Below are 17,498 nucleotides of genomic sequence, written 5' to 3' on the forward strand. Positions count from 1 at the left end.
CCCATTACCATCACTGCTCTTCAACATTGTGTGAGAGAATTTAGTCAGCACAGTACAGCAAGAAAAAGGAAAAAAAGGACAGGAAGATACCACACTGTTATGACTTGCAGACTCTATGATTATTTGCACAGCGAATTCAAGAGAACCTACAAACTTATTAGAACTGAAAGAGTTCACTTTTGCTGAATATAAGATTATATAAAACCCAACTGCATTTCAATAGCCATCTATCAATTATAAAATACAAAAGTGAAAGTACAATTAGCACTAGTTATAAAAATTTTAAGATAGGAGGGACTAGGTCTGACAAAATCACCAACAAAATTAATCCATCAGTTTTTATATGGGGAAATAGAAGCCCTGAGAGGGGAAATGACTCTTTCAAGGATACCCAGTAAATCAGAGGCAATTCTGGGTTTTCAGTGGCACCAAATTCTGGAGATCTGAGTATTGGGTAATTTTGGTATTGTCCTTCTATTAAAAAACAACAAAACCCAGTGGGGTGGGGAGGAGTGGGGGGCAAAAAAAAAAAAAAAGAAAAACCAAACCAAAACTCATTGTATTTTTCTGATTATAAATTCAATATTTATGTGTTCTGATTATAAATTCAATATTCATGAAAATTCAGAAGAACGTTATGAAGTAATGCCATTAACATTCCCATACTGTTATCTTGAACACGATGGTCAATGGTTTGATGTATTTCCTTCAAAATTTTTGTCTGTATATATTTATGTTTTTAAAAATAAAATCAGGATATCATGTGTACTAGTTTGTGTATTGATCATTTTCACACACATTTCCCTGTATTCTCACCTAGTCTTTGTGAATTTGATAATGTAGCACTCAGTTATGTTGATGAAGCATATGTCATTTATTTAACCTATCAATTTGAGCTTTTGGAGACAAATCAAGTATCAGATATAACTGTGATGATCATGCTGATACAATTTCAACCCCAGAGCTAGCTCACACACATGCAGACGTGAAACCCAAGTGAGTTTCTAAGGCCAGTGGTTATTCTGGTGGAGAAGGTTAAACCCAGCATCAGGTAACTGGTCCCACCGGAAGGGGACAGTGGCCTGGCTAGCAGGAAGTGAATGGACTTGGAACGAGTGGACGGATGGAGACCAATTAGCCCTGAGGCGTTAGGTGCTGCCCATCCTCTGCAGCCTTGGCTTCCTTCCTGGTGAAGTGGGGACAATACCAGCGCCAGTCTCATCTAGGGTCGAGCTCCTCCAGGCCCCAGAGCCTTTGCATGGGTCGTTTTGTCTGCTGAAGGTAGCTCTGCCCTTCTCTCCACCTGGCTGCCCGTGTTGCTGAGCTTCTGGGCCCAGCAGCCCTTTGCTGTCTTGCCCGTCAGGCCGGACCAGACCGTCTTGCCCCGGTGGCCCCGGGGGCTTCTTCACAGGCCTCATCGCAGGGTTGTCTCCCCAATGCAGGGCAGGCAGGAGGAGCTCTGGCCGCAGGTCGGGGTCCAGGTCTTCCTCGGCCACTGCGTTTGGAGCAGGGGCTCCCTTCCCTTCTTCTCCATCTAAGTCCTCTAATCATGTCCCTCCCAACACTTACGGCCATAACTTGTCATTATTTTGTCTATTAGCTGTTTCCTTGAGTCTTGTCTGTCTTCTCCTTTGATTAGGACCCGCCTCCGTCTTGGTGGCCGCTGTATCTCCTAAACCCCCAGGCCTGAGATATAGTGGGGGGCCCATACAAGTTCGTGAAATGACTAAGGAGAAACAGCTGTGGAGGCACCACCCCTGAGGACGCAGTGGGCCTGGGGTTGGGCGGACCCCAGGCTGCGGGCGGAGGCGGGACGTAGGGGCGGGGTTTCGGGGCTTCGGAGCGGAGCCTAAGGGGCGGGACTGGGGCTTCGGGGCGGGGCTTCGGGGCTGCGGTCGTGTGGTCTTGACCGCGCGGCTCCGACTGCGCTGGCTGAGTTCCTCAGGCCGCCCGCTCTCTGGCTTCCAGCCCGCGCTGCCGTTAGGGGGCGCCCGCGCTCGTGGCGCCGCGGCTCTGCTGGGAAGGCGCCGCCCGCGCCGGGCAGCTGGAGCCGCAACTCCGGGCGCGGGCTCAGTCGTCCCCTCTGCCGCCGCCGCCGCCGCCGTCGCCGGGCGCGGGCTCGCTTGTCCCCGCGCTCGCGCTCTCCGGCCGCGGGCATCTCCCGGCCCGGCCGCAGCAGCCGCCGCCGCCGCGCAGTGAGTGGGGCTGGCGCGGGGCTTGCGGGGCCGGGGTTTGGGAGGGCCGGGTTTCAGGAGACGTCTGCGCCGAGCGGCCAGGGGAGCGGGGCTGAGGAGGATCTGGGCGGGGGCTCCTGGAACGGGGCGGCGGCGGGGCCGCGTTGAGGGGACCGCGCGTCCCGGGCTGGCACGAGCCAGCAGCGGAGGTGCCCGCGGCGGGGCCTGGGCGGGGGTTCCGGGGCCCGCCCGGCGGGGATGCGCGGTTTCTGCGGGCCCGGGTTCGGAGCCCCGCGGCGCGCCCCTCGTCCGGGCCCGGAGCATCGCCCGCCCTACCCCTGGCCGGGTCGGGTTGCGGGGGCTTCGCTGGCGGGGCAGCAGCGAAGGGCGGCCCGGACGGAGATATTTGGGGTGTGCTCGAAAATGATTGTTTTTGGGAGATGGCGCTTATTAGCCACCAATTGCCCTAGTTTAAAGCTTGAGGCAGGACTCAAAACCCTGCCTTTGGGATTTTCTGCCCTGAAGAGACTCTCAGATCGCAGCTGAGTTCTTTATGCCTAGATTTGTGTGTGTGTGGTGGCGTTTTTAATGCTTGATGTCAGAGGTGATAAATGGCCATGGTAATGGGGAGCCCTGGCAGCACCTGCTGGGCTGACAGTGGTGGAGGCTGTGTCTGGGGGTGGGACGGGGAAATGAAACGTGACAGAGATCCTGTTTGGATATTCTGCCGAAGTTACCATGTTTCTGTTCAAGTATACCAGTTCTAGAACAAGTTGATGGATCCAATTTTAGGACTTTGTGATAGAAGAGGTTTGGGTGGCAAAGTGACCTGGGATGACCCGGCTCGGCTAAGAATATTTGGGGTAGCCTAAGTATCTCTTCTATATCCCCCTGGCATGTTCTTTTTTTCGCTGTCACAAATGCCCTATTACTTGAATCATCCTGGGATAGGAGAGAAGCTTGGGGACAGCATGTAGCACAGTCCTGAGCCCAAGATTGAGATGTTTTCAAATGAACGAATATGTAGCTAGGAAAAGGAAAATGTGTTTGTCAGCAGGGTTGGTAGGTTGAGAGTATTTTCTCTTTGGCCGAAACCATCAGTCCATACTGATACTTGATTTTGTGCTATGCCTTAGATATGAACGATGGAGTGGTCAGGATAGCCATGGATGCCATTCCAAAGTTTTGTGATTTGAATTTTCATAAATCATATTTTAACCAAAGCATTACTACTTAAAGGAATCTTAGGGTGAACCCTATGAATCCTTCAGTGCGCTTGGATTTTGATATTTGGGGTCCATTTAAAATGGAGTACCTGTATGTATTTGGATTCAGCTTTAACTTGGAGATAATCCCGAGTCATGCTTTAAAGAAGTTCCTTCTGAGATCAGGAGCTCAGGTGTTTGGTGAACTCTGGGAAAACTAGACACTCCCCTTTACCTGTATATAGTTCTCCCTTCTGGAGCTCTGGGAAAAGGAGGACCTGGGGAGATTTGAAGCAAATTAAGAGGCTGCCTCCTCCATATTTGCCGTCTCCAGGCCAATGCTCTAAATTACTTGTGTTCACACTCAAGTTTCTCATGTTAACCTAGAAATTTTGTTTATGCTGCTGCCACTAATGTTTTCACATTTGTCTAATACTTGCTAGTTTACAGATGGTTTTATATTCATGATCTCCCTTATTTTCTCCATTTCCCCAAAGAAGAAGCTGGGCATAAAGAGTGATTTTCTCAGGGTCTCATAATCAGTAACGGAGCAGAATTCAACTACAGGACCTCCCTGGGAACCTGTTCTCTTTCCTTGTCCTGATGTGTTACTCTTATAGGCCAATTTTTGCCTTTGTGTTGTGCCTAAATGGTGTAATTACCCCGTTTTGGGAAGGTGGTATTATCCCGTTTTATCTTGCGGAAACTGAGGGTTAAGAGGAATGTTATGATTTTGTGACTATTTGTGACAGCTTTTTAATATTAGGTCACTTTTAAACCTATAGCTTCTCTCTTCTAGACCACATGGTTGAGAAAGGAGAAAGAGAAAATGATTACTTGTAGAGAAAAATCCATTTCTGCAGTGGTATGGTTAAGGATAATCTAACCATAATCACATTATCCTTGTATGCCTGGCTACTTATGCTGGCCTGTATGTGAATGTTAACCCCAAAGACTCCTTTAGATGTCGCTGAACTAGTTACTATAAAAAGTATTTCGCTTTCAAACTCCCACATTTCAAGAAGAGCAAAACTCAATACAAGGCAATTTTGAAGGTAAGTATAGAAAGAGGGAGTTTATTGAGTCTTTTCTGACTACCAGACACGAAGGTTTCAGTAAAAAAGCATTTTTAAAGGGCTGCCTGGAAACTCTGGGAAGTCAGTAGTTGGAGTTTTTTATTATTCGTTGGAGGTTTTTATTGCAACATATAGGTAGTTATATAGGATTAGGACTTTTGCCCCGGAGAATTCTTAATCTATAGCAGGAATGATAAACCCAGAATATTTTTGTTAAGTTAGTTCATCATAACCATTAGGCCTGTAATTGCAATTCTGCAGTGATAGGGAGAATGGCATTTAAGGGTTCTTAGGTTATTTTTTTAAGTTATTAACTTACTGAATTATGTATGCATTTCTTCAGATATGCTACTTTAGAAAATTAATACTTCCTTTTAAGGTTTCTATAAATTCTTCAGTATGTGTTTTCTTAAGCTTAATTACCTGCTAACATGACACTGTCAGAATTTATACATTAGTCACAATAACCTTTGAAGCTTAAACATGGTTGAATTTTCAGCACTGCTTTATATTCTTTGGGGAGTGGGCAGTGTTGTTTTCACAAGAATTTTATTTGCATCAAAGGTTACATCTTTTCAGGTGAACTGATTTTTCAGGGTCAGAGGCTTCTTTGAATTTTATAGCTGTTTGTGCTCGGTTGCATTTGCTGTCTTTCAAAACCATCTTTAGTTTTAGTAAGGAAAGTCACTATAAAGGAAAAATTTTTTATTGTTACCATTCCTGGTAGATTTTCTGAAATATTAGATATTTCTTTGCTTTCATCAAGTAAAATAGGCCTATTTGATACCCATTTCAAGATCTTCCTTCTGCTGCCTGTCTTGTGGTCATTTAACTTCTCATTAAGCCCTCCACTGGAGACTGTGCCAGAAGGGAGAGAAGATGAAAAGCAAATGAATCATTTTCTAATTGTTAGTAGCTCTGGAAAATGATTCAGTAGAAGAGATTGAAACTATTCTGGAAATTCTTTGGGATTGTATTTCATTCATCTGCATCGTTTCAGAGATGTTCCTAATGGTCGTCAATTCAGAATTCAGAAGCCGATCATTATCCAGCTATTGGATAACAGGGAATTTTTCATGCTTTTTTTTTGTTTGTTTGTTTCTTGCTGTATTTAAGCATCTCCACAGAAGATATTTAGAAGCAGGTAGAGATAAAATTTAAACTAATCAATACTGTTTTTTCCCTTTGAACTCTTTAATGCACAATTTGATTTCTTTAGACAGTTTACTCATTGTTATTGGAAGTGACTAATAGTAACTTTGCTTCAATTTATTTTGATGTATCTTATACACAAGTATAGGAAGGCTTTTGGGTGGTTTTTAAGAAACATGGGCTGTAGATTCCCATAATTGCTTTCCTGAATTATTAAGCGTGAGCTTTCATTACATCTTTGTACCGGAACTTTTGCTTTTGCTGTGGAACAGATTCAGGGACATCGTCTAATTTTTTTTTTTTTTTTTTTAGATAACTGCTCAAGAAGTTACCTTGTTTTGATTTAGCAGTAAAAAAGAAAAAAAGGGTTAATAGTGGACAGACTTTTCGTTAACGGCTGCAACATTGATGTCTGCTTTTTTCCTTGTCTTTGATCTTCTGTTTCTCATTTAATCATTTGGATATTCACGGATTGGAGTTCTTTATGTCACTACAGACAGGACAGCAACCGTTATTCACACTAGTTGAATGGGTTCCTGCCTTTTTTTGGTGGGGGGGCCTCAGGAGAATTTTTACAAACCCATTATGACTGTTTAGTTAGGCTGAGTTACTGTAAAATTTGTAAATAAAACCCTACTGGATGGATAGGGTTAATAGATGGCTATAGAGAGTTTAAAGTTAAGCTTTTTCAATTTCTTGTCTCTTGGATTCTGTTCTTTCAATTTCTACCCTAGGAGGGGATTTATGGAAAAATCTAGACTAAGAGTCAGAACATGCAAGTTCTTATCTAGTTACTTCCCAGCTGTGGCGCCCTCAGCTAGTCACTTAATCTGCCTTGTTTCTCTGTTTTGCATCTTTAAGATGAGGATAGTAATCCCTGCTCGGCCTACTGGTATCAGGAATGTTGTAGGGGGAAAAAAAGTCTTTCATGCCCCTGTCTATTAAATTGTTTCTTCCTTCTAGAATCCCTTCTCAGGTTGTCCGAATTTTCTTTCAAGGATTCAACTGAATGGGCTCTTCCCAGAAGTCCTCTATTTCCCATTTGAAATCTTGCTTTTCCCCTCTCACGGGCCTCTGCTGGTCCATCTGTTATACAGCACTTTGAATTCTGTTCTGTACTTCAGTCATTGCATGTTGCCTTCCATTATAGATGGAAAGCTCCATGAGGGCAAAGATTGTCTTTTTCCTCTTTCTGTGTGTCCGCATTGCACATAGGCACCCCCTCCACTCCATAGGTGACCCACAATAATTGTTGGCTGAATGAATGATTATTGAGGCTGTCAGAATGAATACTTTGGGTGATGGGAAAATGCCAAAGATGAGCATCTTACCAGAACTTTTGGATGAGTGGCCTTTTAAATTGCTCAGTTACTAATCTGTTGTTATCAGTAACTGAATCAGATCCTGGCAAGACAAATTGGCAAAGCCCATTTCTTGGTCCTGTTTACTTCGGATACTATTTGTGAAGCAAGTCAGAGGAATGAAAGACTGTCATAACAGTCTTGAATTTGACATTTGTTCCATTTCTCACCCCATAGCATGTGGAGGCCTGTCTATATCCAACTGCTGAGTGTAAAGAATAAAAACTGACTGCCCCATAGTCTGGTCCACATTTTAGTTGTGTGCTTTGAAGGATTTGCAAGGTAGAGAAATAGATGCTTCAGGCTCTGATTTCAGCCCATGCTGTGCTATGCAAATGTTCTCTACATGCCTGAGTGACCTTTTGAGAAAGAGCCTTTGTGATCTTCTGTAGCTAGGGCTTGTTCTGGGAATTCTGTGCCAGATTCCTCTAAAAGTGGGAAAAGTGAATCTGTTAAAGGACCACGTAAAAAAGCCAGTGCTTTTCCTGGATGAATACCAATAAGTCCATGTTTCTTACCATGTCTTGCCAGAGCTTTAGAAATTTGCTCTGCAGTTTGCTTTACAGGTTGATTTGGGATTGAAGTGTGTGAGAGGGAACTGACTAAGGCAGTTCAGTAGCTGGGAAACTGTTTGTTTAAATGCTTTTGAATTGTAGATAAAAATAAATTCACATTGGCATCATTAGTATCTGAGCATTTCTCAGTGTCTTAAGGCTGGCTCTCCATGAGTGCTGGCTGATTGACTCTCATCTATATCGGTAAGGTTCTTTTTGCCCCAAATTGTGCTCTTTAACACTTCGGCATTTAAATCACTTTCTATTTGTTTTAATTGTACAAAGAGAAATACATCATTATTTAAAAGCATCATCTTTTTTTTTTATATTGTAAGATAAATACCATTCTGATGTATTTCTCTTGGAAAGGGATGCTGGTATCCTGGGAGGTTTATGATTTTTGATGTTTTTACTCAGGTGATTGGCTTGTATAGCTGAAATGCTGATGAAAAGGAGTTTTCCCTTCTCCCTTTTTCTTTTCTTTTCTTTTTTTTTTTTTTTTTGAGATGGAGTCTCGCACTGTTGCAGGGGCTGGTGTGCAGTGGCACAGTCTCGGCTCACTGCAACCTCCGCCTCTCGGGTTCAAGTGATGCTCCTGCCTCAGCCTCCTGAATAGCTAGGATTACAGGTGCCCACCACCACGCCCAGCTAATTTTTTGTATTTTTAGTAGAGATGGGGTTTCACTATGTTGGGCAGTCTGGTCTTGAACTCCTGACCTGGTGATCCTCCTGCCTCAGCCTCCCAAAGTGCTGGGATTATAGGCATGAGCCACTGCGCCCAGCCTGTCCCTTTTTCTTAAATGACCTTTTTGGTGAGGACCATTATAGGTTTGTACCAGGATAAGGTTGTAGAGTTAATCATAATATTCTCTTATATAAATTCTAAAAATTGATGTTCTAAGAAGAGAGGTAGAATTTGAATGACTGGGTTACTTCCTAGACTCTTCCTCCTTCTCTTAAGTACAGTATAGTTCTTTCTCTGAAAATCTTCAGTCTCTTAGTTCCAGATGGGTTCTCTATGGTAAGAATACAGGACATGTAGAAGGCCCTAGGGGAATGCTTTCTTCCCCAGATCTTTGCCCTGTAGTAGGTTTCAGCTGAGCAAGGACGAGTAGTTTTTCTGGTGTTTGGCCTCCTCTGTTGGGTGGAAAAAGACTTTCTTCTCTATTTTCCTAGTTATATATGCTATCATATGTCTGTTTTTCTCCTCTTGAAGTTTCCCTGAAACCTGGGCTCTTGAAGACGCATCACTGGAGCAGATGGATAATGGAGACTGGGGCTATATGGTGAGTGCTTCTTGGAGATGCATTTTGAAGGCTGGGGAATTATTTTTGTGTGTCTTTTTATCCTTATGTATTTTTAGGTATATCTTATAAGAAAAGAAAATTGTGAATTTGTGTAACCTCTCTTCCCCCTTTTACTTAGTTTAGATGTATTTTGGAGGCGTTTTTGTCTTGTGTGGTGTTTTTTAAATTTTTATTTAATTTTTTTTATGTGGAGTCTCGCCTTCTTGCCCAGGCTGGAGTGCAGTGGCGCGATCTTGGCTCACTGCAACCTCCACCTCCTAGGTTCAAGAGATTCTCCTGCCTCAGCCTCCTGAGTAGCTGGGATTATCAGCGTGCACCACCACATCTGGCTAATTTTTGTATTTTTAGTAGACACGGGGTTTCACCATGTTGGCCAGGCTGATCTCGAACTCCTGACCTCAAACGATCCTCTGCCTTTGTTTGGTGTTTTAATGGAATCAAACTCAAAATGGATTTTCCAAATACTTTTTATAATCACTGGAGAGGTAACGTGATTTTTTATTTTTTCAAGTGTGTTGCTCTGAAGACTCTTTCTTCATGAATAGTGACTACAAAGGGATCTAGTGAGTTTGGAGGATATTTTGTTGTGGTTTGGGAGATTAATGGTTGAGAAAGTGCCTCTTCTCCCCACTTGCATTTTTTGTGTGTGCATATGTCTCCCTATTTTTCTATTCCTTTGGTGTAAGGTATATTTTACTTGCCTATACCTGAAGTCTCTGTCTGCCTTTCTTTTTTCTTTCTTCCTTTTTTTTTTTTTTTTTCGAGACAGGGTCTTGCTCTTTTCCCTAGGCTGGAGTGCAATGGCGTGATCTCGGCTCATGACTTTCCAAGCTCAGGTGATTGTCCCACCTCAGCCTCCTGAGTAGCTGAGACGATAGGTGGGCACCAACATGTGTGGCTAATATTTTGTATTTTTTGTAGAGATGGAGTTTTGTCATGTTGCCCAGGCTGGTCAGCAACTCCTGGGCTCAAGTGATCCACCCTCCTTGGCCTCCCAAAGTGCTGGGATTACAGGTGTGAGCCACCACACCTGGCCTATTTTTTTCGTAAATAGTATTTCTAAAACTGAAGGTATGTTTTTTAAGAGAAGCTTGCTTCTCAGAATTAAAGGCCAGATTGCAGCATTAATGTTACAAAAGTGAATACACTATCAGATTATGAAATTTTATGGCTGCTGTAAGCTTTTGGGTATGTGATGCTTTTCTGGCTTGGTTGTATTGACTAAACTGTATATTTTAACTTAGTATTTGAAAGTATCACTTCCATGAAAAAGTTACCAAGATTAGGTCTGCACAGTTTTTAATTTAATTTAAATAATTTTTTTTTTTTGGAGACAAAATCTCTCTGTGTCGCCCAGGCTGAAGTGAAGTGGCATGATCTTGGCTCACTGCAGCCTGTGCCTCCTGGGTTCAAGTGATTCTCATACCTCAGCCTCCCAAGTAGCTAGGACTACTCAGGCCACCACACCCAGTGAATTTTTTTTTTTTTTTTTTTGTATTTTTAATAGAGATGGGGTCTTGCCATGTTGCCCAGGCTGGTCTTGAACTCCTGAGCTCAGGCAATCTGCCTGCCCCGGCCTCCCAAAGTGCTAGGATTACAGGTATGAGCCACTGTACCTGGCCCAAATTTTTATTTTAAAAACAAATTTCATAGTTTGTTCCTTTTGTTTGAGGGGGAGAAACCAAAGAAATATTGAAAGTAAATGTCTATATTATCAGATCATTTTAATTCTATCTAATGTTAAATTAAATTCAGAAAAATGCAAGCCTTAAAAAAAAATCAGAAAAAAATAAGTGTATTTTAGCGTGGCTTTTCCCTTCCCACATATATTCTGGCCTGAAAACTCTATAGATAATGGGCCTGAAATGATTTGGCTCTGGAAGTCAATGCCCTGTATTCTTAGCATAAGTCTTTAAAGAGAAATTGGATTTCTCCTTTTTTTTTCTATTGAAAGCAAATGTTAGATCACTTCATCTGGGTGGGTTTATTGCTGGTAGTAAAGTCATTTTGCATTAGAGGATTACTAAATACATTATAGCCTGAAAGAATCTTGGGCTTTGCTCAGTATCACTTACTTTCTTAATTTGTCAAAGTTAGTATTTAAAAATTTCAGATGACTGATCATTTCTTTACAAATTTCAGATGACTGACCCAGTCACATTAAATGTAGGTGGACACTTGTATACAACGTCTCTCACCACATTGACGCGTTACCCGGATTCCATGCTTGGAGCTATGTTTGGGGGGGACTTCCCCACAGCTCGAGACCCTCAAGGCAATTACTTTATTGATCGAGATGGACCTCTTTTCCGATATGTCCTCAACTTCTTAAGAACTTCAGAATTGACCTTACCGTTGGATTTTAAGGAATTTGATCTGCTTCGGAAAGAAGCAGATTTTTACCAGATTGAGCCCTTGATTCAGTGTCTCAATGATCCTAAGCCTTTGTATCCCATGGATACTTTTGAAGAAGTTGTGGAGCTGTCTAGTACTCGGAAGCTTTCTAAGTACTCCAACCCAGTGGCTGTCATCATAACGCAACTAACCATCACCACTAAGGTCCATTCCTTACTAGAAGGCATCTCAAATTATTTTACCAAGTGGAATAAGCACATGATGGACACCAGAGACTGCCAGGTTTCCTTTACTTTTGGACCCTGTGATTATCACCAGGAAGTTTCTCTTAGGGTCCACCTGATGGAATACATTACAAAACAAGGTTTCACGATCCGCAACACCCGGGTGCATCACATGAGTGAGCGGGCCAATGAAAACACAGTGGAGCACAACTGGACTTTCTGTAGGCTAGCCCGGAAGACAGACGACTGATCTCCGACCCTGCCACAGGTTCCTGGAAAGACTCTCCAGGAAATGGAAGATACTGATTTTTTTTTTTAAATCACAGTGTGAGATATTTTTTTTCTTTTAAATAGTTGTATTTATTTGAAGGCAGTGAGGACCAGAAGGAAGTTTTGTGCTTTGGCAGACTCCTCCATGTTTTGTTCCCTTCCCCCTGAGTATGCATGTGCCTGTTCAGAGTCTCCAGATACCTTTTTTATAAAAAGAAGTCTGAAAATCATTATGGTATATAATCTACCCTTAACAGAGCTTTTCTTATTACAGTGCTAAAATGATTTCTGATAAAATGGTCCCTAACTCAACTAGAAGGCTAAAAATACAAGAATGAAAGAATAAGCAGAGTACTCATGATGCCTTTGAGAAAAATCAAAACATCATGTAGGGTGACCTAGTTTCCAAACCAATAAATAAGTAGTATTGTAATATTAAAGGAAAACTGTTCCAATCATTTAAAAGTACTTATTAAGTACTGCTTTTTACAGTTATGACAACTGTTTCTTTCTATGCATATAAATCAAGGAACCAAATATCTGTAGCCATGGAAATGTCTGACTAGAAATATTTATATTGAATTCTGAATACAAAATGTCCCTGTGGTAGAAAACTTACTCTTTATGCCTGGTGCAGTATAATTCCCAAGTGTACTGTCTACCAGAAAAAAAAAACAAAACTAATAAAAAATGAAATATGAAAATTAAGTTTGTATTTATTGATTATTATTACTTAAGGGGAGAAAATCATATTTCTTGTCTAAAATATGCATTGTTTATGTCCCAGTGTTTACTGCCCATAGCACATTTGTATTTGATTTGAGAGGACACAGTGGGATCTTAGGTTGCAGTTTATAAGAACTGTTGCGTCACTGAAACAAGGATGGATGGAATTATTAATTTTGACTAAAAGGGTGCATATTTGAACAGTGAACATACAGTTTTTCATATTTTTTCAAAAGAATTTATGTTGAAGGTTACAGATTTTACTTTAATTGCCCACAGTTCTATGACCATTATTTCAGTTTTGTGCTAAGCACAGGAACAAAATGACTTTAGCCCTTTATGCTCATGTTTTGTGGTAATCGACAAATGTATTTTGTTAACAAAGTTAAGTTTATTTCTGAAGAGAAGAAACAAACTGCAGTGAATGAATGACCTAGAACGGTTGGAGAAATGCACGTACTTGGAGAAATACACGTACTTTTATTTATTTCACTGTAGTCTTATTTTGCATAGTTCATGTGCTTCTATTTCTTGAAAGTAACTCATAGGAAGGATTATTTTAATTGTACTGAGACTTCCTACTTTGTTAGACCACAGTATAAAAGGAAGTCATGTAATTTATTCCCTATTTTCTAAGGGAAGAGTGGAGCTCTGAGGCTGTGTGCCCTGGGGCAAGCAGGCCACTCCTTTTCTCCTTCTCTCTGTGAGAATATTCTGAGGTTCTCTCTCTGCAAGGAAGATGACAACACTTCCTTATGTCTATTTTTGCCCACGTCTCTGAAAATTTATTTTAAAATGTGACAAATGACCCACATCCAGAAACCTGTAATTACCCTATTTTCACCATCTTCAAACTAAGATCCTTTGATGTTATTGACAGGTTGCTGTGGTTTCAGTAAATCAATATACGAGTACAAGGTTATCATTTTGGAAAATTATCTTGTATTTAAAATTGATTTGATAGTTACCTTAAAAAAAAAAAAGGCCCAACCAGTTACGTGTTGTTGAGCTAGCTGAGGTCAATATGAAATAAAATGATTTGGGTTGAAAACAAGTGGGGAAATAGGAATAATACTAGTTTCCAGTTTTTATTTTTATTTTATTTTTAAATGATTTTTATTTATTTATTTTTGAGACAGAGTCTCACTCTTGTCACCCAGGCTGGAGTGTAGTGGCGCGATCTTGGCTCACTGCAACCCGTGCCTCCCAGGTTCAGGTGATTCTCCTGCTTCAGCCTCCTGAGTAGCTGGGATTACAGGTGTGCGCCACCATGCCCGGCTAATTTTTGTATTTTTAGTACAGATAGGGTTTCACCATGTTGACCATGCTGGTTTTGAACTCCTGACCTCAGGTGATCCACCTGCCCTGGCCTCCCGAAGTGCTGGGTTTACAGGTATGAGCCACTGCGCCCATCCCAAGTTTTTAAAAGTTAAAAACTTATGAGGCCTCTTCCTTGTCCTGTTTACTGGAGATAAGTTTGCTTTTGGTAAATTTTCTCAAATTTACTGATTATTAACAATGAAATGATTGTTTATATGAGTAAATTAGGAAAAGTAGCCAGCTGAATTTTTTTTTTTTTTTTTTTTTTTTTTGCCATTTTACTTGTCTAGTGACATTTAGAGTGTTTTGTCTAATTGGGCAATTGAAAATGATATGAAAAATGTAGCTTCATTTTATTTGGGTAACTTGAGACAGTTATGTCTTTTAATGAAATTTTAAATCATCACTGTGGAAGAGTTGATTTTTAAAAAATGATAGTTGCATTCTTAGAGCTGTATTTTATTTAGATTACAGCAAGTATACGCACTTAGGAGGATTGTGTGTGTGCATGTATGTGTGTCCTTTTAAACCCAAGGATAAATGTGTGCGAAAAACACACTAACTAATGAGCCTATTGGCTTTTGCTAGATCTACAGCAAAATCCTTGTATTTAACCAAATAGATGCTATAAATGGACAGTGGTACGGTTTTTTTACTGTGGGAAATTTCTTTCTTTTTCTTTTTCGAGATAGGTTCTTACTCTGTTGCTCAGGCTGGAATGCAGTGATGTGATCACGGCTCACTGCAGCCTCAACCTCCTGGGCTCAGGCAATCAGCCTCCCTATAGCTGGGACCACAGGCATGTACCCCCATGCCTGGCCAGTTTTTTTTTTTTTTTTTTTTTTGAGGCGGACTCTCGCTCTGTCACCCAGGTTGGAGTGCAGTGGCGCGATCTCGGCTCACTGCATCCTCCGCCTCCCGGGTTCACACCATTCTCCTTCTTCAGCCTCCCAAGTAGCTGGGACTACAGGCGCCCACCACTACGCCTGGCTACTTTTTTTGTATTTTTAGTAGAGACGGGGTTTCACCGTGTTAGCGAGGATGGTCTCGATCTCCTGACCTCGTGATCCACCTGCCTCGGCCTCCCAAAGTGCTGGTATTACAGGCGTGAGATAGTTATTTTTGTAGAGATGGCATCTCTCTATGTTGCTCAGGCTGGTCTCGAACTTCTAGGCTCAAGTGATCCTCTCATCTTGACCTCCTAATGTGTTGGGATTACAGGCATGATCCACCACGCCCCACTGGAAATTGCAAACACATTCAGAAGTAGAGAGGATAGTGTAATGAACACTCATGTACCTGCCCATTGACCAGCTTCAACAACTGTTCACTTTGGCTTTTTTCTCCTATGGATTATTTTGAAGTAAATCACAGATATTATTTCACATATATCACTTCAGACTGTATCTAAAAGATAATGACTCTAAAACATAAATATCTAATTTAAAATTTTAATGTTGCATATATGCCATAGTACCATTATCACATGATGGTGCTGGTTGCTTCTTGAATACTGTTGGTTATTTCATAGCTTGGATCTCCAACTTTGTAAAAGTGGTCTTATATATTCCTCATAGGCAGGGTTCTCCTGTTTGTAGAAAGAAACGCATTATTAACACAGTACATTTCTGCCAGGATTAATGACTTTCACTTTCAAATTAAGTCTCTAGCTTCAAAAAGTAACATTACGTAAGATTCTTAATTTTAAAAATTATTTCTAAGACTCATTTTGTGTGAACATATGGAGAAACATTTTTTCCAAAGGGCATCCTTCCTTTTCTCATGCAGATTTTAAATTGTGGATGCAGGTGGCCAATTAAAAACACAGCTTATCACTTGCTTTTGGAATTTCATACAAATAAAAGGCTTGACTCTTTGAGGCTCTCTGAAACTGAACATTAATCACAAAGCAAGGAACCAGATAGGGATCATATAAGCAGTATTCTAGGTCCGACTAGGTTATCCTCATTATGCTGTAATTCAGTGTCTTGATTCTTTGTTTCTTAGTTCTAGTCTCATCTTTTATAATATTTACTTTGTGTGTGTGTGTGTGCCTGTCTACACTAAAACTGTAAGCTCCTCGAACACTGGGCTTTTGACTGTTTTTTTTTGGAGACAGTATTGCTCTGTTGCCCAGGCTGGAGTGCAGTGGTGCGATTTTGGCTCACTGCAACTTCCGCCTCCTGGGTTCAAGCGATTCTTGTGCCTCAGCCTCCCGAGTACCTTGGATTACAGGGGTGCACCACCACACCTGGCTAATTTTTGTATTTTTAATAGAGACGGAGTTTTGCCATGTTGGCCAGGTTGGTCTCAAACTCCTAACCTCAAGTGATCCACCCGCCTCAGCCTCCCAAAGTGCTGGGATTACAGGCTTGAGCCACTGCACTCAGTCTGGGTTTATGACTCTTGTTCTCCAGTGTATCTTCAGTATCTAGAATAGTTTTTGGCACAAAGTATGTACTTAGTAAATATTTGTTGAATTGTTGAATGAATGAATCAGTAGATGTATTTAATGCATCTAACTCCTACTTGGACACATTTTTACAATAGAATAATTGGGGAAAAACAGGATTTTTGTTTTGAAATTATCCCCAATGATTCTTCCCTTAAACCAAGAAAGCACATCATCCTGTCCAGGAATAAAGCTCAACGCTGCCCCAGACAGAAGAGAGCTTCTCCTATGATTCTAAGATGTTTACCTTAGCATAGCACTTTTCTTTTGGTAGAAAAATGTCAGTGAAATATATTCCTGTCTGTACTTTTATGTCTACAGGGTGTGTTTCAACATAGCTGCTGTTTTATTTAAAATATCTGCCAGGCATGGTGGCTCACACCTATAATCCCAGCACTTTGGGAGGCTGAGGCAGACGGATCATTTGAGGTTAGGAGTTTGAGACCAGCCTGGCCAACATGGTGAAACCCCATCTCTACTAATACAAAATACAAAAATTAGCTGGGTTTGGTGGCTTGTGCCTGTAATGCCAGCTACTTGGGAGGCAGGAGAATTGCTTGAACCTGGGAGGCAGAGGGTTGCAGTGAGCCGCGGTTGTGCCACTGCATTTCAGCCTGGATGACAGAGCGAGACTCTGTCTCAAAAATAATAATAAATAAAAATACATAAAATATCTGTAGTGTGCCTTTTTCTATTAGTGCAAATGAGGAAAATGTCTCTTATTGCAGCTTCAAAATTATAGCATTATATCTTAAGAGTAGGGTTAAAAAATTATCCACAGCACATTAAAAAATACACTTTAAAAGTGCTATTTTGGTGATCTCTAAAAGGAGCCAGAAATGTAAGATCATGTACATTAGCAGGCAGCCTCATGTCATTTTAACTGACTGGAAACAGTTCACTAAGGTCATTTGTAACTTCACATTCCCAAATTATCATGCGTGAAAGATCCACAATGCTATACCTGTCACCTTTTTAGGAAGGTAATATAAGCTAGGATGACAAGAGTGTGTGGCACTGTGTATGCAGCAGATTCCTTTGTCTCACTATGCAGGTTGTAAAACCATGTTCATTTATTCCATAGACGTGGAGTGTCTACTCTGTGATAGATCTTGGAGTTGGGAAGGTGAAGACTCCTTCGTTGTTCACAGTCAAGTGGAAGGAGATAGAAGTGAATGGGATGAAGTGCATCAATGTTTTCCCAAATGTGTTGACCCTCTGGGTCAGTCATTCCTCTCGTTTAGATAAACATGTTCTCATGTAGTATCCAGATTAAAGTCTTTTAAAATAAATATTAAAACCAACTAAAACACAAGAAAGCC

General features: G+C 41.3%; 2 protein-coding genes across 7 annotated transcripts in view, besides 1 other annotated feature; one reads left to right on the plus strand and one right to left on the minus strand.

The window, feature by feature from the left end:
• Positions 1,773-2,422: a silencer, noted in NCBI's record as "silent region_14490". NCBI's record gives its function as "represses an Ori minimal core promoter by ATAC-STARR-seq in GM12878 lymphoblastoid cells {active_cell/tissue: GM12878}" and the evidence as "EXISTENCE:reporter gene assay evidence [ECO:0000049][PMID:35858748]".
• On the plus strand, positions 2,122-12,386 carry KCTD6 (potassium channel tetramerization domain containing 6). 3 transcript variants are annotated; one of them, XM_005264937.3, is made up of 3 exons: positions 2,122-4,434; positions 8,739-8,808; positions 10,972-12,386. In XM_005264937.3, the coding sequence occupies exons 2-3, from the start codon at positions 8,782-8,784 to the stop codon at positions 11,656-11,658; spliced, it is 714 nt and encodes a 237-aa protein (XP_005264994.1). In that variant the 5' UTR covers positions 2,122-4,434; positions 8,739-8,781; the 3' UTR covers positions 11,659-12,386. The 3 variants fall into 3 exon arrangements, with proteins under 3 accessions (XP_005264994.1, NP_001121686.1, NP_699162.3); NM_001128214.2 differs by having other exon boundaries at positions 2,122-2,195; positions 10,972-12,382; NM_153331.3 differs by lacking the exon at positions 2,122-4,434 and having other exon boundaries at positions 8,391-8,808.
• Positions 15,162-17,498, minus strand: part of ACOX2 (acyl-CoA oxidase 2) — a 32,055-nt gene continuing 29,718 nt past the window's right edge. For all 4 annotated transcript variants that reach the window (NM_003500.4, XM_005265505.2, XM_047449042.1 and 1 more), the window contains one exon: positions 15,162-15,312. In NM_003500.4, the coding sequence (NP_003491.1) occupies positions 15,250-15,312 (63 nt within the window). In that variant the 3' untranslated portion in view covers positions 15,162-15,249. The remainder of the gene's footprint in view (positions 15,313-17,498) is intronic.

Source organism: Homo sapiens, chromosome 3, assembly GCF_000001405.40.
Source record: "Homo sapiens chromosome 3, GRCh38.p14 Primary Assembly".
Classification (NCBI taxonomy): Eukaryota; Metazoa; Chordata; class Mammalia; order Primates; family Hominidae; genus Homo; species Homo sapiens.